The sequence below is a fragment of the Homo sapiens genome, chromosome 2 (genome assembly GCF_000001405.40).
Source record: "Homo sapiens chromosome 2, GRCh38.p14 Primary Assembly".
In the NCBI taxonomy this organism is placed as follows: domain Eukaryota; kingdom Metazoa; phylum Chordata; class Mammalia; order Primates; family Hominidae; genus Homo; species Homo sapiens.
Genome location: NC_000002.12, coordinates 13,608,382 through 13,632,731, shown reverse-complemented (window position 1 = coordinate 13,632,731; position 24,350 = coordinate 13,608,382). Strand labels below are relative to the sequence as shown.

General features: G+C 34.2%; 1 long non-coding RNA gene across 5 annotated transcripts in view; it reads right to left on the bottom strand.

The window, feature by feature from the left end:
• Positions 1–24,350, bottom strand: part of LOC105373438 (uncharacterized) — a 220,483-nt gene that overhangs the window by 125,665 nt on the left and 70,468 nt on the right. For all 5 annotated transcript variants that reach the window (NR_188380.1, NR_188384.1, NR_188383.1 and 2 more), the window contains exon 2: positions 23,571–23,676. This is a non-coding gene — a long non-coding RNA (uncharacterized LOC105373438). The remainder of the gene's footprint in view (positions 1–23,570; positions 23,677–24,350) is intronic.

The window sequence follows — 24,350 nt, the reverse complement described above, 5'->3', positions numbered from 1 at the left end:
TGCCCTTCACAGAGGAGTAGCTTTTTAATTTTAATTGTCACACTTAACTTTTTTCTTTCATGGATCTTGCTTTTGGTGTTGTATTTACTAACTCACCATGACACTCCAAGCAGCTTAGATTTTCTTGTTTTCTTCTACAAATTTTCTGTTTGTGATTTTCCATTTGCGTATATGATCCATTTTGGCTTATAATGTCAGTGTCTAGACTCGTCATTTTGCATGTGAATGTCCAGTTTGCCTCAGCACCATTTATTGGAAAGACATGTCCTTACTCATTTGACAAAGATCAGTTGACTATAGTTCAGTAGGTTTGTTCACAGACTTTCCATTCTGTTTTCTTCCTCTGTTTGTCTATCCTTTCACCATTACCACACTGTCTTTATTCTTACAGCTTTATAATAAGACTTAAAGTCAGGTAGTGGCAATCCTTCAACTTTGTTCTTTAATACTGTGTTGACGATTTTGGATCTTTTGCCTTTCTCAATAAACTTTAGAATTAGTTTTTCAATATCCACAAAGTAACTTGCTAAGATTTAAATTGAGTAATTATTTTTCAATTATTTTCAAAATACATTTTCAGAAATATAATTATTATACAAAAGTAATCAGCTATAAATATATGGCATGTGTTGCTCAGAAAATCAAATTTACATACCATATAATGTAGCCAGATAAACTTTTTCCACCAATAAACAAACTTGTCATTAGGTAACAATGAAAGACAATAGGCTTTTCTGTGTTGGTGGCAGTCCCATTTTGGGCAGCATTCTCTTTTAATACTAATCGTATGAACAACAGAAAGGGATAAAAGAATTATCCTTCATTACTTACTGACTACTGTCACTTTCACAATATTTTAAATAGCCTGACATCGATGTTACAAAAACCAAACCAAACAAAATGAAACACAAAAACCAATATGTGTTCTGAAAGGTAATCAATTGTTCCTAATAACAGACATTAACAATTTCCAACACGATCTCTAGAAACAATTTGCAGTCTGAAACATACTTTTGAATACTATTTCTTGAAGTTTGTACAGGATTGATTTCTATCCCATCATTAATAATTATTACACTAATTATTTCAAGCACTTTCCGCTCTACAAACTTCGGTAAAATGTTAACCTTTCAGACACTGAGTATTTTGCACAGCAGACATGGTCCATCATCAGCATAATCTTGAAGGAAACATGTAACATGGTGGAGCCATTGTGGTCAGAGACCACGGGGTAACTGTGTAGTGTCCACATTTCCTCCCTTGTTCAGGAAGCACCCTACCCAATTCAGGAGTAAGTAGTCTTTGAAATACAGTTCTGCTTTTTTCTACCCAGAGATGTGTATGCTAACACTATATGCCAGAGAGGAATGGGCACCCAAGAAAGCACAGTCTTACAGCAAGTCTACAAAAATATTCCACTCTAAGAAAACAATGGAATATATATACGGGGGAAAAAAGCATGCACAGTTTTAGCTCTCATTTACCTCCAGTGATTCTGGACATACCACCTGGATTCAGTGAGCATCAATGTGTTTATCTGTTAAGCAAGGCTACTATCAGCTCATTTGCAGGGTTTCAAAGATGGCTAAATTCAACCACATATAAAACTACCTGGTACATATTAATACTCAGAACATGTTTCTTGAATTGAAGTTTATATGAGTTATTTAATAGCTCTCCATTCTGCGCTCAATTTTGTAAATGAGAAAACTTACCTCATCCGTCAGACAACTTCTTGCAAAAGGTTCATTTTCCTTCTCCAGTGCAGTTACACATAACCAAACCATTTCTTTTCTAAATCCCTATTTTCATTTCAACAAGATAATTTCTCATCTTCTGCCACTGTCATGGGGTATTTTCATAAAAATAAAAGTGAAAACTTACCCATGACCATAATGAGAAAGGGATTTTGGGGAGTTAAAGGCTGGATATCATGGGTTTATGATGTACACAAAAAAGGAATTCAGAGCTATGTAAGAAATATCATGTTTATCCATGATAGTTACATTCAATTGCTATAAATCAAATAATAAAAGGGAATCTATGTTATTATTATTATAGAATCCTGTCTGAGAAAAACAACAAAGAATGAATATATGCTGGGACATTCTCCACTTTCCTACTAACCGCAATATTAATAGAGAAAATAATTGGACAAAGAGGAAGAACATTAAGTATCAGCACATAGATTAGGTAGAGGAAAAAAATACATACAGTGCTTAGGAACTGATAATACAGTCAATTTATTTTACTCTCCAATTCATAATTAAATGAATAAAAAGAATGGTGCAATTCCATTGGGACATACTCTTTATCTCTTTAAGCCTAAATTAGAAAATCTTAAATAAAGCACAGTGTATATTTACACACACACACACAAAACACTTAAACAAAGATATATATAGAGAGGAATTTTCTGTCTATTGCATTTCAAATCTGGAACACTCCGTTTTCCAAATTCTACTATGATAAAATATATTTCTTGTTCTTTTTTATTTACTATCTAATTTTAAAATATTTTAACTAAGAACAGACTGCTGAGTGATGAAATTTTATAAGTAGCTTGGATTTCAGAGGTGGCAGAGATACAAAGGAATTAGTTGTTGCAAATTGTACACTGAAGGGAAATATACATTGTCCTGTACTTCATCCTGTTGAAGATAGTATCTTTTTAAAAATCAGGAGCACTGGAAGTACAAACAAAGACACATAAAGTCACATGTAAAAAACTAAAACGAAGAAAATGATTCAGAGCAAAATCTGCTGCAGAGAAGGTATAAAAGCAGCTTATCTGCTTGAAATTTGTATTCTGAGTTCTTACTGTGCTTTCAGTAGTCTTAAATTTGATTATAAATCTGTGTTGGGGGCAATTTTACAGGATAATACTGTTGTTTTCATTTTTTTAAGTTTATTTTCATTCTATTTTCCATAATAATGTCCCCTTAGCTTAGTCTAGATCCTATTCGCAGGACAGCTGTTTTGTGTAACTCCAGGGATGCCTATTACACATAATTCATATGAATGGGGTGCCATGGACTTTGGCAATCCTCAGCTTACATGGGCTTATATGGAGTCTCATCCATCCTATTGAAAAATAGTCATTTCAGCTCTGAATATTTTGAGATTTCTGTCTATTCTCAATTTTTTTCTCCTTTTTATTTAATCGAATTCCATGGCTTTAACTATCACTTTATGCTAATGAATCTAAATTAATAAAGATAAATATTGCTATCAGATATTACAAGCAGCCTCAAATCCCAGCGTCTTCACATAATAAATGTTGTTTTTTTTTTCTGACTCATGCCATAGTCCAATTCAATAAACCCTCTTCTGAGTATAAATCTAGAATTGCTAGACAATGTACAGAAACAAGAAGTCAAGTTATCTGCCTCCATCCCCCATATACAAATATAGTGCAGCAAAGCTGGGATAAACAGAGCTTCCACAATGCTGCAATATTGTGAGAGAGACGGTTATGGGTGTCATTGTCTATGGATGTGGGGGTACATTTCCTCATTATTCCTAATTTTGCTCCTGGAAAGAACTCCCTTGTCTCTTCTCTGATTCATGTCCCTGCCTTGTGCAACATTCTTCCTTGTCTATCCTCTCTTGCCATGTATGAAGTATAAGTTGGAGTATTTGTGAATCCAGAAGATCATAGAAATTTTGAAAATTGTTTTCTACTCAAAGAAAGTTGGTGGCTTAAGATTGTTTTACTTATTTTATGGTCAAAGACAATTTAATCTGGGCTTAAGGTTTTATGCTTTATTTAATTTTTTTTTTAGAAATACAATTCCTGCAAAAACACAGTTAACTTCTGATTTGTTTTGATTTAGTTCCATATTCCAATAGCCACATATAGAGCCATTTTCTACATATTTTACTCGTCAATTTTTTTTCTTTTTCACCACCGTGATTGCACTTACTGCCTCAATCTAATGGCGGCTACTTTGAGGGTCTCAAGCTTTAATGCTAAGGCCACACTCTTTACCTGATTTTTAACAAAAGCATCTTCTTAATGTGTTTCCACAGCTCAAGGACTTTTACAGTGCTACTTTTCAAATTCGGAGTAAACAGGTGTTATTAACTCCCCTTTGAAGTGGAAAAAAAAAAAAAAGGAAACAGTGCTGGACTTTCCATTTCCTTTCATTATACCCACAATCTGGCCAAGTTTCCTCTGAGTGCATCTCTTTCTTGTAATACCTTGTCAAACACAGCCAGTAGTAGCTAATACAGTGCATTCATACAGTGTATTCACTGTATTCCTTTTCTATTTCTGCTGTAACAAATTGCCACAAACTTAGTGGCTTAAAAAGCATATATTTATTATCTAACAGCCTGTAGACCATAAATCTAAAATGAGTCTCATTGGGCTAAAATTAAGTTGTCGGCAGGGTTGTATTCCCTTCTAGAGGCTCTGGGGAGAATTCATTTTCTTGACTTTTACAGCTTTTAGAAGGCTGCTCACTGACCTCAGCTCATGTATACTTTCATCAGTCTCTGAAGCCAGCAATGTTCAACTGAATTCTTCTCACAATGGCACCTTTTTGGTTCTCCTTTTCCACCTGCCTCTTTGACCTTTAAGGATCACTGTGGTTTTACTGGGCTTATTTGTATATTGTCCAATGTAATCTGCCTATTTTACCTATTAGGTGAGTGGATTAGTACTCCGATTGCATTCTGCAGTATTAATTCTTCTTTGCCTTGAAAGATAACACATTCACTGATTCCAGGGATTAGGATGTGAACATCTTTAAGGTGACCATCATTATGCCCAGGATTATATTAATCCTATATTTCCAGTTATTTCCTCTAGAACTGTCAGCCTCAAAGGCTCATAATCTGCTTTCCAAATTCTCAATGGCTAAAGTTTTATAAAATATTTTGACACAGCTTAAAATGATTATCCAATTTTCCAGACACTGATACCAATTTTCTCAACACCCACAACTTGATAAGCTAATGCAACATACATATAATATGTAATATATTACATATACATAATTTTTAAATAATTATAGATTTATAGGAAGTCACAAACAAATGTAAAATATAGAGAAGTTTTGTGTTCTCTTTACCCAGTTGCATTTTAGGTTACTATAATACAATATTAAAACTAAGGAATTGAGAATGACATTGGTACAATGTGTGTGTATAGTTCTATATCATTTTATTGCATGTAGTTTTGTGTAATCACCACCACAATAATGACAAGAAACTCTTCTATTACCACAATGATCTCCCTCATGCAACCTCTGTAAGTTCACATCCACCTCTTTCTCATACACAATCCCCAACCCCTGTCAAACAATAGTCTACCTTCTCTCTCAACAATTTTGACATCTTAAGAATGTTACATAAACAGAACTGCAAAATATGTGACATTTTGCAATAGCAAAGACTTGGAACCAACCCAAATGTCCAACAATGATAGACTGGATTAAGAAAATGTGGCACATATACACCATGGAATACTATGCAGCCATAAAAAATGATGAGTTCATGTCCTTTGTAGGGACATGGATGAAATTGGAAATCATCATTCTCAGTAAACTATCGCAAGAACAAAAAACCAAACACCGCATATTCTCACTCATAGATGGGAATTGAACAATGAGAACACATGGACACAGGAAGGGGAACATCACACTCTGGGGACTGTTGTGGGATGGAGGGAGGGGGGAGGGATAGCATTGGGAGATATACCTAATGCTAGATGATGAGTTAGTGGGTGCAGCGTGCACCAGCATGGCACATGTATACATATGTAACTAACCTGCACATTGTACACATGTACCCTAAAACTTAAAGTATACTCATAAATAAATAAATAAATAAATAAATACAAACATAAATAGAACTGCAAAATATGTGACATTTTGATGGTGGATTCTTCTTTTTCACTCAGCATAATTTCCTTGTGATCCATTCAAGTCATTAGATAGATCAATAGTTTCTTGTTTATTTAATTTTTATTATTGAGTAATTTTTCATGTTATGGTTCTATCACAGTTTGTTTATTCATTAGTCTATTATGAGAAATTTTATTCAGATTTTTTTCTAGTGTAAATAATGCTACTATGAACAATTTTGTACTAGAGTTTGTAAAGACACAAGTGTCCATTCCTTAAAAAAAAGTCCATAAGTGTGATTGCTGGATAATGTAATAAGCGTAAGTTTACATTAAAAGTAAAACAGCAAAACTATTTTTCTAGTATTGTTTTAGAAAGCCAGCAGCAACATACAAGGAATCTAGTTTCTCCGCATTCAAACCAACATCTGGTATCATGAGTGTTTTTTGTTTTGTTTTTCTTTTAGCTGTTCCAGTAGGTGTGTAGTGATATCTCACCATGGTCTTTCTTTATGCTGGCCTGATGGTCCAATAACGATGAATATGTTTTCATGTACCTTCTGGATATCACCTGTGGTAAAATATATGTTCATGCTTTTACCGATTTTATAACTGGCTCGTTTTTAGTTTTTGTTTTTCTTTACAGTTTTTTTTTTTTTACTGTTGAGTTTTGAGAGTTCTTTATATATTCCAGATATGAGTCCTTTAATAGTTATGTGGTTTTTCAAATACTTTGAGTTTGTAACTTGTCTTTTTATCCTCTTAACATGGTCTTTCACAAAGCAGAAGTTTCTAATTTTGACAAAGCATAATTTATCATCTTTTAAAGATTGCATGGATCATAATATTTGTGTCAGATCTAAATTTGCTCATCAAGCATGAGTTCCCCAAGAGTTTCTCCCATGGTTTCTTTCCAGATATTTTATAGTTTTACATTTTACATCTAATTCTATAATCCATCTTGCATTAATTTTTGTTTAATGTGTGAAGATTAGGTTGATGTTAATTCTTTTTGCCTAAGGATATATGTATTAGTCCTCTCAGACTGTTAGAATACTGTAGAATGAGTATCTTATAAACAACAGAAGTTTGTTTCTCAGAGTTGTGCAGGCAGAGAAGTCAAAAATTAAGACTTGTAGAATTAGTGGCTGAAGGCCTCCATCCATTTTCATAGATGGCCTTCTCACTGTATCCTCACATGGCAGAAAAGGTGAGGGGGCCCTCTGAAACCCTTTTATAAGTGCACTAATCCTGTGAATGAAGGTTCAGACCTCATGACCTAATTACCTTCCAAAGTCCCCACCTCCAAATACTATTACATTGTGGATTAGGTTTAAATATATCAGTGTGGTGAAGACATAAACATTAAATCTATAGAAATAGCCAATTGTCCCAGCACTATTTATAGAAAAGACTATTTCTCCTCCATTGAATTGTTTTTGTGGGTTTGTCAAAAAACAGTAAGTCACCCTTGCATGGGACCATTGCATGGTATTCTTCTATTCAGTTGACCTATGGTTCTATCTTTCCACCAATGCTACAGAGTCTAGATTACTGTATGTATATAATAAGTATTGTAATCAGGTAGAACAATTCCCTTTATTCTTCTTGTTCATGATTGAGATATTTGAGTATATTTTTTTTTCCATACACATTTTATAAAACGCTTGTCTATTTCTAAAAAATAAAATAAAATAAACCCTCCTAGAATTTAATTAAAATTGCACTGAACCTGAAGATCAATTTTGGGAAAATAGATATCTTTACAATGTTGAGTCTTTCAATCCACAAACATAGTATGTCTCTTTATTTACGTAGGTTGTGGATCTTTATTTTTTTCATGTGCATTTTGAAACTTATAGCTAGAGGTGCTGTTTAGGTTTTATAAAGTTTAACACATCAGCATTTCAGTTTTTCTGTAATTGTAAATGTTGTGTTTATCACTTGGGTTTCCAGATGCTCACTGTTAGTATATACCAATAAGACTGACTTTTCACATTTTTCTTGCATCCTGTAACCTTAATAAACTCATTTATTAATTCCAGATTTTATTTTCTTTCTGTTGGTTTTTCATAGGTTTTTACACATACCTTTTCCCATCTGCAGATAGAGACAGCTTTGTTTCTTTCAAATGTGTTAACAATTGATATCCATCGTATGCCTTATTACTCTTTCTAGAACCTCCATTGCTATGTTTAATAGCAACAGTGATGGTAAATACCCTTGTGTTGCTCTCAAACATTCAATCTTTTATTATTTAATGTAATAACTCGCTGTAGATCTTTCATAAATGATTTTTGCGAGGAAGCTAATCCTGTTATTTTTCAGAGTTTTATAATAAATGAGTGCTGAATCTTGGAAAACTTTTTATGCATCAAATGATATAATCATGAGATTTATCTTTTTTGACCTTTTCATATGGTGGATTACATTGATCTTTTAGTATTGAACCATCTTGGCAACCCTACAGTAAAACTCACTTGAAGATTGTATACAATTCTTTTTATATATTGCTGAATTCTATTTTATAATATTTTGTTAAGAATTTTTGCATTTATATTGATCCGTAGTTTTCTTTTTCATTGCTATTTTTGGTCATGGTATCAGGTAATATTAACTTTATAATAAGAGTTGGGAAGCCTTCTATTTTTTGAAAATTATTTGTGTAGATTATGTTAATTCTTCTCTGAATATTTGTAAGAAACCCTCAGTGAAAACTGAGCCTGGATATTATCTTTTTTAATTAGAAAAAATACATATATTTAATTTTGTTAATTACCTGTTCAGGACCATTCAAATTACCTATTCCATATTAGATGAGTCAGGATACATTTTGCTTTTCAAGAAATTGGTAAATTTCACCTAAGTTTTCAAATTTCATGTGTGTAAGTTTATCAGCAGTATTTTCTAATTGATCTTTGAATATCTGTGGAGTCCACAGTGATCTCCTCTGTTTCATTCTTAATGTTGATGATTTGTGTCTTCTCTCTTTGTTTTCTCATTTTGGTAGATCTTTGTCAATTTTATTGATAATTAAAGAGCCATATTTTCATTCATTTTAATTTATCTATTATTCTTTCTCTCTTCAATTTCATTGATTTATTCTCTCAGCTGATCTGGTAGCTAGGACTACAGGCACATGCCACTATAACTAGCTCTTCTGTTTGTGAATTCTAGTTTGATTCCATTGTAGAGGGAGACTATACTGTGTATGATTTTAATTCTTTGAAATGTGCTGAGGTTTCTTTTCTGGTCCAGGATGTAGTCTAATTTAGTATAATTTATATAGGCAGTTGAAAATACTGTGTATTATTCATTGTCTACTGTTGATTAGATCCTTTTGGTTAATCATGTGTTGAGTTTTTTATCATTGCAGATTTATGCCTAATTTCTATATCATTTGCTGAGAGAGAAATGTTAAAGTTTTCCACTGTAATAGTGTAATTTCCTATTTTTCTTTTCAGCTTTGTCAGTTTTTGCTTCATGTATTTTACAGCTCTATTGTTTGATTCATACATAATTAGAAGTGCTACTTTTCTTGGTGAATTGTACTTTTTATCATTAAATAATGTTTCACTCTATCCTGGTAATATTATTGTAATCACTCTTGATTAATTTCATTAATATTTATATGATATGTTTTTCCCCATTTTTTTACTTTTAACTTTCCTCATTATATTTGAAGGCTGTTTCTTATAAAAAGCATACCCTCGGGTCCTGTTTTTTAAATCTACACCATCAATTTCTTTAATTTAATTGTGCATTTAGACCATTTAAATTTAAATTATTTATACTGTAGAGCTTATGTATCATTTTAATTTTTTTCTCGTCTATTTTGTATCTCTTTTTTTCTGCTTTCTTCTATGTTATTTGAGATTTTAAAATTAATTTATATACTTTCTGTGAAGTATAATTATTAGTATTTTATTTTTAAATTTCAACTTTTATTTTAGATATATGGAGTACATGTGCAGATATGTTACATGGGAATGTTGCACGATGCTGAGGTTTGGAGTATGGATTCCATTACCTTGGTAATGAGCATAGCATTTGATTGGTGGTTTTTTAACCCACCTTCCCACTCCACTCACTGGCAGTCCACAGTATCTACTGTTCTCACATCTATGTCCATGTGTGCTCAATGTTTAGCTCTCATTAGTAATTGAGAACATGTGGTATTTGATTTTCTGTTCCTGCTTTAATTTGTATAGAATTATGGCTTCCAGCTCCATCCACGTTGCTGCAAGGGACATGATTTTATTCATTTTTATGGCTTGTGTCGTATTTCATGGTATATATGCATCAATTTTTCTTCATCCAATCTATCCTTGGTGAGCATGTAGGTTGATTCCATGTCTTTGCTATTGTGAAAAGAGCAGTGGTGAACATATGAGTGCATGTGTCTTTTGGTTTAATGACCTATATTCCTTTGGGTATATACCCAGTAATGAGACTGCTGGGTCGAATGGTAGCTCTGTTTTATGTTCAATGAGAAACCTTCAGACTGCTTTCCATAGTGGCTGGACTAATATACATTCCCACCGACAGTGTATAAGTGTTCTTTTTTCTCTGGAACCTCATCAAGATCTATTGTTTTTTGACTTTTTAATAACAGCTATTCTGTCTGGTGAGAGATGATATCTCATTGTGGTTTTGATTTGCATTTCTGTGGTGATTATTGCTGGGCATTTGTTCATACATTTGTTGGCTGCTTATATATCTTCTTTTTTCGTTTTTGTTTTTTTTTTTTTTTTTTTTGAGACGGAGTCTCGCTTCGCTTTGTCGCCCAGGCTGGAGTGCAGTGGCGGGATCTCGGCTCACTGCAAGCTCCACCTCCTGGGTTCACACAATTCTCCTGCCTCCGCCTCCCGAGTAGCTGGGATTACAAGCGCCCGCCACCAAGCCTGGCTAATTTTTTTGTATTTAGTAGAGATGGGATTTCACTGTGTTAGCCAGGATGGTCTCCATCTCCTGACCTCGTGATCCACGCACCTCGGCCTCCCAAAGTGCTGGCATTACAGGCATGAGCAACCGTGCCCGGCCGTCTATCTTCTTTTGAAAAGAGCCTGTTCATGTCTTTTGTCCATTTTTAATGGGGGTTATTATTATTATTATTATCGATTTCCTTACATTCCCTATAGATTTTGGATATTAGACCTTTGTTGGATCCATGGTTTGCAAATGTCTTCTCCCTTCTCCCATTCTGTAGTTTGTCTGTTTGCTCTGCTGATAGTTCTTTTGCTGTGCAGAAGCTCTTTAGTTTACTTAGGTCCCACATGTCTATTTTTGTTTTGGTTGTAATTGCTTTTGGGGACTTAGCCAAAAATTATTTGCCAAGGCCAATGTAGAAAAGTGTATTTCCTAGGTTGTCATCCAGAATTTTTATAGCTTGAGGTTTTACATTTAAATCTTTAATGTATCCTGGGTTAATTTTTGTATATGGTAAAAAGTAAGGGTCCAGCTTCTATCTTCTGCATATGGCTAGCCAGTTAGAGAACTACAAAACACAGTTGAAAGAAATCAGAGATGACACAAATAAATGGAAAAACATTCTATGCTCATAGATTGGAAAAATCAATATTGTGTAAATGGCCATACTTGTGAAAGCAACTTATAGATTCAATGTTATTCCCATCAAAATATCAATGTCATTCTTCACAGGATTAGAAAAAAACTATTCTAAAATTCATATGGAACCAAAATGAAGCCCAAATAGCAAAGCAGTCCTAAGCAAACAGAACAAAGATGGAGGCATCACACTACCCAACTTTAACTATACTATAAAGCCACAGTAACCAAAATGGCCTGTTGTTGGTAACAAAAAGAGATTCTCGAAAATATTTTAAATTTCTGTTTTATTTATCCATAGTGCTTTTGAGTGAATTTATATAGATTTTTTATGGTTGTTCTTGGTAAAACATTATATATACATAATTTGTCATGTCTACTAGAGCTAGCATTCTACCAATTTGAGTAAAATTTGGAAATTTTATATCCTGGTACCATCTTTTATCCTCCACCATTTATAATTGTTTCAAATACTGCTTCTAAATATATTTGAGTCAAATCATATAGTATCACACTTTTTTTAAGTACCTAACATTATTTAGAAAAATCAAAAGGATAATAAAATGTATGTATTTGATTGTATTTTTCCTTTTTCCACTTTTTATTTCTTCCTGATTTTCCAATGTTCCTCTTTTATTCATTCCTTTTTGTTTAGAAATCTGTCTGTAGCTATTTATTTAAGATTGTTCTGGCCGGGCATGGTGGCTCATGCCTGTAATCCCAGCACTTTGGGAGACCGAGGTGGGAGGATCACGAGGTCAGGAGATCGAGATCATCCTGGCTAACATGGTGAAACCCCGTCTCTACCAAAATTACACACACACACACACACACACACACACACACACACACACAAAATTAGCTGGGCATGGTGGTGGGCACCTGTAGTCCCAGCTACTCAGGAGGCTGAGGCAGGAGAATGGCCTGAACCCGAGAGGCAGAGCTTGCAGTGGTCAAGATCGCGCCACTGCACTCCAGCCTGGGTGACAGAGCAAGACTCCGTCTCACAAAAAAAAAAAAAAAAAAAAAAAAAAAAAAAAAAGAGAAAGAGAAAAAAAAAAGATTGTTCTAATGACAACAAATTCACTTAGTTTTTCTTAATCTGAGGATGTCTGGACTCTCCCTTTATTCCTGAAAGATAATTCTGCTAGTTATAGAATTATGGTTATCTTTAGCTTCAGACTTGAAAAATATCTCACTTCCTATTGGCCTCCATTGTTTTGGCTTATAAATCAGCTGTGTTTTGAATTATTTTCTTCTATATTTAAGTTCTCATTCTCTCTTGCTGTTTTCAAGGTTTTCTTTCAGTGTTTTTAGTTTTTAGAAATTTGATTATTATGTGTCTTAGTGTCCACTTCTTTCAGATTTTCCTGATTGGGGTTAATTCAGCTCTTCATACTATAGGTTTATATATTTCACCAAATTGGAATTTTTTTCAGTCATTATGACATTCAACTCTTTCTTCAGCCCCTCCTACCTATTTTTTTTTTCAGAACTTCAATAATACAAACGTTAGATCTTTTGTTATAGCTTCCACTTTTCTCTAAGGCTCTGTTCATTTTAATGTTTAGTTTATTTTCTCTTTCCATTTCAGTTTAGGTAATTTCTACTGTTTCATTTCAATTTCACTGATTATTTTCTCTGCTTTATTCATTTTACTGAGTTTCTTTTTTTTTCTTTTTTTATTATACTTGAAGTTCTGGGGAACATGTGCACAACCTGCAGGTTTGTTACATATGTACACATGTGCCATGTTGGTGTGCTGCATCCATTAACTTGTCATTTACATTAGGCATATCTCCTAATGATATCCCTCCCCCCTTCCCCCACCCCAGGACAGGCCTCAGTGTGTGATGTTCCCCTTCCTGTGTCCAAATGTTCTCATTGTTCAATTCCCACCTATGAGTGAGAACATGTGGTGTTTGGTTTTTTGTCCTTGCGATAGTTTGCTGAGAATAATGGTTTCTAGCTTCATCCATGTCCCTACAAAGGACATGAACTCATCCTTTTTCATGGCTGCATAGTATTCCATGGTGTATATGTGTCACATTTTCTTAACCCAGTCTATCATTGATAGACATTTGGGTGGGTTCCAAGTCTTTGCTATTGTGAGTAGTGCCACAATAAACATAAGTGTGCATGTGTCTTTACAGCAGCATGATTTTTTAATTTTATTTTTAAGTTCTACAATTTCCATTTAGTTTGTTTTTACATCTTCTATTTTTTTTTTGCTGAAACTTTCTATATTTTGGTTAAGATCTTCTATTTTTGAATATTTTTATCAAACATGTTTAAAATTGTTCATTGAAGCACTTTATAGTAATTGCTTTCAAATCTTTGTCAGATAATTCTATCATCACCATCATCTTGGTATTGGCATCTATTATCATCCTCTTTTAAGTACAGACTTTTCTGCTTCTTGGTATGATGGGTAATTTTTGATGGAAATCTTGTTTTCATAGTATGCTATAATTTTTCTCAATCTTATTTAAAACCTAGGTTTACCTTGACTTCTCTGTCACTACTCCATCAGAAAAAAGTGGGGTACTGCATCCTTATTGCTATGTAGGGTAGAAGACCACAAACCATAGTCAACATCCATTAATACCCAAGCAGTACAAATTCCCTATTTCTCCTCAAATGTGTAGGAGTTACAGTTGTCTACTAAGCCTCTACTATACTCACCTGGCTGGGAGGGAGAGGAATGCCTTTTTACCATCTCCCATGTGTCCTATATTGACACTGAGGGTGTCTGGCTTTGTTACTATTGGACACTGTTGAAATTCCTGATGCTGCATTAAGCCTCCTCTCACACCACTCCAGCTAGAAGACGGAGGAATGTCTCATTACCTCCATGTGGGAATGGAAGTCCAAGATCTCATGTACTCTCTCCTAACACAGTGGAGAAAGAGGTCACTCATTACTGCACAGCAGGTGTAAAAATCTCAACTTCCTCTTTAGCCTTTATGTTGTGCCATAAAATAAGTGTCAGTAAATTTTGAAATATCAAAATGTTAAACTTCATAGAGGAATTAAATCTAGTATCTGAATAAATCTACTGATATCTACTTCTTAAGGTTGGGGTTCATAGGTATTTCAAGCTAAAGCAACTATGCCTGTTGTTCTGAATTCAGTTATGAATTTCTTGCTTTGACCTTTAACAAGTCTCTAGAGATGTATAAAAACATGAAAACATTAATATGTTATTAACCTTGCTTGCATCTGCCAGTGAGAAACATCATTTTGTTTCAACATGCTATTCTCCTATCATGCTTGAATAGTTACAAAGATTATTTTATACTCCCTTGTATTTCTGAGTTATTTATCCCACAGCAGTTGCCTTAGATTAGCCGCACATCAACTACACTGTATACTTCTGGTCTCCAGATTTCCTACAACAATCCAAATACACCAAAAGTTAATTACTCCTGGACTCCTATAAATGCCACATAACACCCTCTATGATCATCCTTGCTCTTATTGCCTGTTCATCTCCTTACAAGCTCACCAGCCTCAAATATGTCATTCCCTCTGGTATCTTCATTCTGTCACAAATGGAGATTGTGGGGTATTTATTGAATCTCAGGTAGTGGGTATACACCATATGCTTTTCCTCTTGATTGGAAACCCCAGTCATACTAAACTTATTTTTAAGCCCTTGAGGACTCATCTCAAGAGTTCCATCTTATAATAAATTTTACGTAAATACCTTGCTACACTCTAAATTCTCTTACATCCAATATTAATTACTAACACAATATATTTTAAACTCTTTACTAATTGTCTTTAAAAATAAACTATTTTCAGATCCATAAAAATTGTGAAGGTAGTACAGAGTTCCCATACACCTATAGCCATTTTTTCCATTTTTGACATCTTGCATTAGTGTGGTACAGTAGTTATAATCAATGAACCAATATTAATACATTATTAACTAAGATCTGTACTTTATTCAAATATTTTTATTTTTATGTACTGCCTCTTTCTGTTTTATGATTCCATTCAGGATACCACATGACATTTCACTGCCATGTCTCCTTAAGCTCCTCTTGGTGATAATTTCTCAGCCTTTTCTTGGTTTGTTTTTGATGGTCCCAAGCATTTTGAGTACTGATCAGGTATTCTGTGGAATAGTATTGGCTTAGTCTGTGCTGCCATAACAAAATACTTGCGTCTGGGTGTATTAGTTCATTCTCACGCTGCTATAAAGAACTGCCTGAGATTGGGTAATTTCTAAAGGAAAGAGGTTTAAGTGACCCACAGTTCCACATTGCTGGGGAGGCTTCCAGAAAGTTATAGTCACAGTGGAAGGCAAAGGAGAAGCCGGCACCTTCTTCACAGGGCGGCGGGACAGAGAGAGTGCAAGCAGAGGAAATGCCAGATGCTTGTAAAACCATCTGGTCTCATGAGAACTCCCTCACTACCACCAGAACAGCTTGAGGGAAACAGCCCTCATGATCCAATTACCTCCACCTGCTCCTGCCCTTGACATATGGGGATTACAATTCAAAGTGAGATTTGGGTGGGGGACACAGAGCCAAACCATACTACTGAGTAATTTATAAAGAACAGAAATTATATCACACAGTTTTGGCGCTGGGAAGTCAAAGATTAAGGTGCTGGCAGGTTCTGTTATCTGGCAAAGGCTGCTCTCTACTTCCCAGATGGTGCCTTGTTGCTGCATCCTTCGGAAGGAAGGAGTGCTGTGTCCTCACAAGGCAGAAGGCAAGAGGGCTGAACATTAAGTGAAGCAATTTCTAAAAGGGGCTTAATCCCATCCCCAAGAGAAGTCCTGAAGGCTTAATCAACTCTGAAAGGCCCCATCTCTCTCTCTCTCTTTTTTTTTAATTCTCCAATTTAAAACTTTTAATTAAAAAGTAAGCTTTAATGTCGAAAATGCAAACTTGGGGAGGGCAGGAAGATCACACACAAGGCTGTCACTTCACACTTGGAGGGTTGCACAGCCGCCAGGCAGAGGCGCCCCTCACTTCCCAGATTGTGGGGCAGCCGGGCCGAGGCGCCCTCACTTCCCAGATGGTGGGGCAGCCGGGCAGAGGCGCCCCTCACTTCCCAGAGGGGGCGGCAGCAAGGCAGAGGCCCTCCTCACTACCCCGACCTGGTGGCGGCGGGCAGAGGCGCTCCTCCCTTCCCAGATGGTGGGGCGGCCGGGCAGAGGAACTCCTCACTTTGAAAGTCCCCATCTCTTAAAAACTGAATTCAATAACATTAAAAAGATCTTCATTGTGACCAAGTGGGTCACATCCTTGAATCTGAGGGATTCAAGCATGGTTTAACATATGCGAATCAATCAATGTGATACATCATAATAAGAGAATAAAGGACAAAAACCATATGATCATTTCAATTGATGCTGAAAAAGCATTTGATAAAATTCAACATTCTTTCATGATAAAAACCCTTAAAAACTGGGTACAGAAACAACATACGTCAACCCAATGAAAGCCATCAATGACAGATCCAAAGCTAGTATCATACTGAACATGGAAAAACTGAAAGTCTTTTTCCTCTAAGATCTGGAACAAGACAGGATGCCCTGTTGAATAACCACTGTTATTCAACATAGTACTGAAGGTCCTCACTAGAGCAATCAGACAAAAGAAAAAAATTAAGGGCATCCAAATTGGAAAGGAAGAATTCAAACTACCCTTGTTTGATATGATCTTACTTTTAGAAAATCCTAAATACTGTACCAAAGAACTATTAGAACTGATAAGCAAATTCAGTAAAGTTGCAGGATACAAAATCAACATACCAAAATCAGTAGCATTTCTATATGCAAACAGCAAACAATCTGAAAAAGTAATTCCATTTATAATAAAATATATTAATATCATATATAATAAATTACATATAATTATAACTTATTTTTAATTTATGATTTATTATATTAATGTATATTATAAATATTATATAATTATATTATATTCATTGTATAATACAATAATATACAATATTACAATATAATATGTATAATACAATTATACAATTATATATTTTTTGCATATTAAAATTGTATAATATATACGTATAATATACAATAAATATAATAAAATAAAATACCTAGGAATAAGCTTACCAAAGAAGTGAAAGATCTTTACAATGAAAACTCTAGTGTATTGATGAAAGAAGCTAAATAAGACACAAAAAATGGAAAGATATTCCATGTTTATTGGTTGAAAGAGCCAATATTGTTAAAATGTTCACACTATCCAAGGCAATGTATAGATTCAATGCAATCCCTATCAAAATACCAAAGACAGAAATAAGAAAAATAATTCTAAAATTTATATGAACCCACTAAAGAACCAGAATAGTGAAAGCCATCTTGAGGAAAAAGAACAAAGCTGCAGGCATCATCTGACTCTAAATTATACTACAAAGCTATAGTAACCAAAACAGCATGGTACTGGCATAAAACGGACATATAGACCAATGATAAATGGAACAGAATAAAAAACCTAGAAATAAATCCACATATTTATACTCAACTTATTTTTGACAAGGTGTCAAGAATATACACTGGGATAGGACAGCCTTTTTAACAAATGATGCTCAAAAACCTAGATAACTATATGCAGAAGAATGAAACTAGACCCTTATCTCTAAACATACACAATAATCAAATCTCAACAAAGTGAAGAGACAATACACAAATGACAGAAAATATTTGCAAACCACCCATCTGACAACAGAAAAACCAGAATAAATCAGGAGTTGAAACAACTCAGTGGGGAGGGGAGACAAATAATCTAATCAAAAAATAAACAAAAGGTTTGAATAGACAGTTCTCAAAAGAAGACATACAAATGGCCAAAAGCTTTATTTAAAAAAAAAAATTCTCAACAACATCACTAATCATCAGGGAAATGCAAATCAAAACCACAATGAGATATCAGCTCACCCCAGTAAAAGTGGCTTTTATTCAAAAGACAGGCAATAACAAGTTCTGGTGAAAATGTGAAGAAAGGGGCCCCTTATACACTGCTGGCAGAAATGTAAATTACTACAGCCACTATAGAGAATATTATGGAGTTTCCTCAAAAAACTAAAAATAGGACTTCCACATGGTTTAGCAAACCCACTGATGCATATATATCCAAATGAAAGAAAATCAGTATATCAAAGAGATATCTGCACTCCCATGTTTATTATAGTAGTATTCATTTTATTTATTTTTGAGACAGAGTCTCGCTCTGTCGCCGAGGCTGGAGTGCAGTGGTGCAATCTCGGCTCACTGCAAGCTCCACCTCCTGGGTTCACACCATTCTCCTACCTCAGCCCCCCAGTAGCTGGGACTACAGGTGCCCACAACCACGCCCAGCTAATTTTTTGTATTTTTAGTAGAGACGAGGTTTCACCGTGTTAGCCAGGATGGTCTTGATCTCCTGACCTCGTGATCTGCCCACCTCAGCCTCCCAAAGTGCTGGGATTACAGGCTATAGTAGTATTCAAAAGAGCTAAGATATGGAATCAACTTGCGTTCATCAACAGATTAATGGATTTAAAAATATAGTACATATACACAATGGAATGTTATTTAGCCATAAAAAAAGAATGAAATCCTGTCATTTGTAACAACATGGGTGAAACTGGAGGTCATTATAAGTGAAATAAACTAGACACTGAAAACAAATATTGCATGTTCTAAGTAATATTTGGGAGATAAAAAAGAATTGAACCCATAATGATAGAGAGCAGAATGTTTACCAGAGGCTGAAAAGAGTAGTGGGGAGGGGGTATAAAATAAGGATGGTTAATGGGTACAGAAATATGCAATTAGACAGAAGGAATAAGATCTAATATTTGGTAGCACAATAGGCTGACTATAGTTAACAATAATTTATTGTATATTTCAAATAACTTAATGAGCAGAATTAGAATGTTCCTAGCTCAAAGAAATGACAAATAATTGAGGTGATTTGTACCCCAATTATCCTGATTTGATCATTGCACATTGTAGGTTTGTGTCAAAATATCACATGTACCCTATACATATGTTTATTATTTATTCATAATCATTAAAAAATTAAAAATTAAAAAGTTTGTAGAGAAAAGTATAAGATTCCTTCTACCCACCTCCCAGCTTAAAGTATAAAAGTTTTACAAACACACTGAATGTCCTTATTCCTTTCACTCTTTCTTAGAAGATAACCACTCTCCAGAAATTTAAATACTTTATTTCCATGTATTCCTTTACATACCTATTACTTTTTATGTTTCCATGCAACAATATATACCTCAAGTGATCAGAAGCTACTTAACTAGACAGCATAGATTCAGATTGTTTCCAACCTTTGTTAGATCAGAGAATGACTGTTGCATGACTACTTTGTACCTGTGAGAGCTTTTCTTAGGTGCATTATCAAGGACTAGTATTGCTGAGCCACAGATCAGGCATATCCCAAAATTGTAACATAATTGCCACATTGTTTTCTAAAGTTATTGCCATAATTTTATACTCTTACTGGCAGTATATGAGAATTCCTGTTTTCCTGCATCCTATCTAACTCTTGATATTGTCAAATGATAAAAGTACCAACATTATGAATCCTAAAAGATTTTTTTGTTGTGCTTTTAATTTGTATTTACTTGACTACAAGAGAATCTGGGTATGTTACCATGTTAATTATTGCTCATTTAGAGTTCCGTTTCTCTTAAACAACTGCTGATTAAATTTGTTTACTTATTATATTGCTAAAAAAGTTTAAATGAAGAGAAACTTTCAGATGGGTATTATTATTACTAATGATTACTTTGAGACAGGGTCACACTCTGTCATCTAGGCTGGAGTGCAGTGACACGATCTCGGTTCACTGCAACCTCCCCCTGAGATAGGCATGAACCACTGTGCCCTGCTTCAGTTAGGTATTAATATTCCATTGTGTTCAAAAATAATCTGATGCAGAGGTAATCAGAGAATTGTGCAAAGCATAGCCATGCTAATGAGGAAGTATTTTTGTTTGTTTATGTGCTTGTTTGTTTGATACTAGCCTCTTTTCTTAGAATTTGGGATGTTGATGATTTTCTTGCTCATAGAGGCCAGGGAAGGATTAACCCTCATTGCTCCCTGTTGCTTCATATGACTTACCTGGTAGGAAAACTTAATGCAGAGTGACTGTCAAGTGCTCTGTGGCCCCGTGGAGCACAGCATGTGCTAACCACTGTGAAGAGGAAGAGCCTAGAGAAGCTCTCTGCTGGGATGCATCAAACATTCATTTTCTGAATTCTGCCCAGCATGGCCCTTTTCCTTTAGTTTCCTTTAGCTTGATGATCTTTTACTTTCAAACTCTCTCCAGGGCTCCCTGCCTTTAACACCTGCCCCAAAAACTCTTTCATTGCATCACCCCTTCCTGGTACACAACATACAAAAAACTAGTGTTTTGCTCTAGGCAATAATGGATTTATGAGGTAAAAAATTTGACATAGCTAAGATTTATTTTTCCCTCCCTGTAGAATGGGATCTCTCTGCCCTCTGTCAGGACATGAATACATAAATGCACATATCTATAAATATTTCTATATGCTACCATCTATACATATATTAAGCTAAACAGTAGTTCATAATCATGCTCAATCCTAATCTATCACCGTATAGATCATTCTCTTCTCTTCCAATTTTTATCTGTAACGTCCCACTCCAACAGCAAGAAACTTATGTCTCTTGATCTGCGACGCAAATACAATTGTTAAATTCAATTAAGCATATATACTAATTTCAGAATTGTAAACCTATACCTCTTCGGGACACAAACTTGTCAAATGACATATAGTGCATTTGTGCAGTACCTTTTGTTTATAGTCTTGCAGACCACTCATTTCCAAAGTTATTTAAGTCAGTACCATTTCCCCCACCTTTTTCAATAACACCATTTAATACATTTGGTAAACAGATTCTTTCATCACATTCTGCATTCCATTGTGGAATCTTCCAATCTCCTAAATGATTTTTGTTTAAATCTGCATACATTATTTCATTTGCTGAGCTATGAAGTTCTATGGGGTTTGATAAATGCAGTATCATGTATCACCTACTACAGTATCACACAGCATGGTTTATTGCCCTAAAAAAAAATTCTTTGTGCTTTATCTATTCAATCCTCCCACCACAACTTTCTTCCCTGCCACCTGGCAATCACTAATCTATTTATTGTCTCTATGGTTTTACCTTTCCAGAATGTTATACATATATTTGGAATCATATAGCTTATAATCTTTCCAGGCTTTCTTCTTTTACTTAGCAATATGTATTAAAGACTTATCCATATATTTTCTTTTTTTAAATTATTATACTTTAAGTTCTAAGGTACATGTGCATAACGTGCAGATTTGTTACATAGGTATACACGTGCCCTGTTGGTTTGCTGCACCCATCAACTCGTCATTTACATTAGGTGTTTCTCCTAATGCTATCCCTCCCCCAGACCTCCACCCCCTGACAGGCCCTGGTGTGTGATATTCCCCACCCTGTGTCCATGTGTTCTCATTGCTCAATTCCCACCAATGAGTGAGAACATGCGGCGTTTGGATTTCTGTCCTTGTAATAGTTTTCTGATAATGATGGTTTCCAGCTTCATCAATGTCCCTGCAAAGGACATGAACTCATCCTTTTTTATGGCTGCATAGTATTCCATGGTGTATATGTGCCATATTTTCTTAATCCAGTCTATCATTGATGGACATTTGGGTGGGTTCCAAGTCTTTGCTATTGTGAATAGTGCCACAATAAACATATGTGTGCATGTGCCTTTATAGTAGCATGATTTATAATCCTTTGGGTTCATAGCTTGATAACCCATTCATTTTTATTCTGAAGAGTGTTCTTTTATATGGATATTCCACCATGTCTCAAATCACCTACTGAAGGACATCTTGGTTCCTTCCAGTTTTGACTATTATGAATAAAACTGCGAAAAACAAATGGATACAATATTTTTCTATGGACATGATATTTTAAAATTATTAGAGCACTTAGAAGACTGACTGCTAAATTATATGTTAAAACTATCTTTAAGTTTGTAAGAAACTGCCAAAGGATATTCCAAAGTGGCTATACTATTTTACAATCACACCAGAAATTGTGAAAGTTACTGTTGCTCTGCATCTCGGCCAGCATTTGGTATTTTATATATATATATATATATATATATATATATATATATATATATATATTATATATGTAATATAGTATATGTATCATATATAATATATAGTATGTTATATAGTATATTATATAGTATAATATATAGTATATTATATAGTATAATATATAGCATATTATATAGTATATTATATAGTATAATATATAGCATATTATATAGTATAATATATAGCATATTATATAGTATAATATATAGCATATTATATAGTATAATATATAGCATATTATATAGTATAATATATAGCATATTATATAGTATATGTATCATATATAATATATAGTATATATAATAGTATAGTATGTAGTATATATTATATATTTATACATTATACATTATATATAATACATTACTATATAATATATACTATATATGATATACTATATTGTATATAATATACATGATATAATATATATTATATTGTAATGTATTATATATAATGTATATAGATATTAATGTCAAGATATTAATATCTGCAGCTGAGCAGAAACTAGGTTTGTGAGTTTTTTTGCCATTTTAATAGGTATATTGTAGTATCTTGTTTTAATTTACATTTGTTTAAGGACTGTGCATGTGATTATTTGTTATTTGTATGTCTTCTTTGTGTTTGCTGATATCTCTTTCATTTTTAATGTAGGTTGTTTCCTTTCTTACTGTTGAGTTTAAAGTGTTCCTTCTATGTTTTGGATACAAGTTCTTTATAACATATATGTTCTGCAAATATGATATTCAAGTCTGTGGTTTATATTTTTATTCTCTTAACAGTGTGCCTTCCTCTGTCCCCTCCCATTCCCCAGAGCCACAATGGAAGCTATAGGTTCTTCACCGTGAGAACAAGATAAGGTTCCTGGAGGTAAAGCCCAGAAAAGAGTGGCCCCTCCCTGAGACTGAGGCCCACAGGAGGTTTTCATTCACATCCTAGACTACCCTCAGCTTCCAGTAATTCTTCAAGATTACCACTTGAATATTCCTACCTGTTTGTGACACCCGCAGCCTTTAATCCAAGGAAGATCTCAGCTGTGACTCCCTAGACACTCCACATTTCCAGGAGGCAGGTTGCCCTCTGTTCCATGACGTATCCTAAAAAAAAACATCGATTTTTAGTTTGTCCAGCTTTTTGTTGTTGTTGCTGTTGTTCTAAGGAGTTTTTGTTGTTGTTGTTGTTTTTCTTTACTTACTCTATATTTGAATTTATATTATTTTCTTTTTTTGCATTTTGATGATTTTTTTTCTGGTTTTGTCAAATTTCTATTGATTCTATATTTCGCATTGACAACTTTGTAAATGTAGAATGCTTCTCCATTACATTAACCCATTAACTTTTTAAACCTGGAAATGATAAATTTGCTTTATAAATATTTATTTACTGTTCACGTTTCTGCCTGGCATGGGACTAAGACAAAGACTGAAATAGACAAAGTCCTTAACACAATACAGTTTATATTCTAATTATTCTAATACAAAAACCAACACTAACAAAGATGCACATAAATATATGATAAAATGTCAAGAAATAAGTGCTATGGAAAATAACAGTAAATCAGTTAATGGGTTGGAAATTGATAAGGTTGCCCAATTAGTCAATATGTTTTTGAAAACTCTCTCTGAGGAGGGTGCATAATTCTGATAATAAAACTCATATTTTTCTTGTTTAACATAATACTAAGTATTTTTCCACACAAATATGCTCTGATGCCATCATTTCCCATTACTCACCCTATATGATACCTTTAAAATGCTTGTTTTCTCTATCT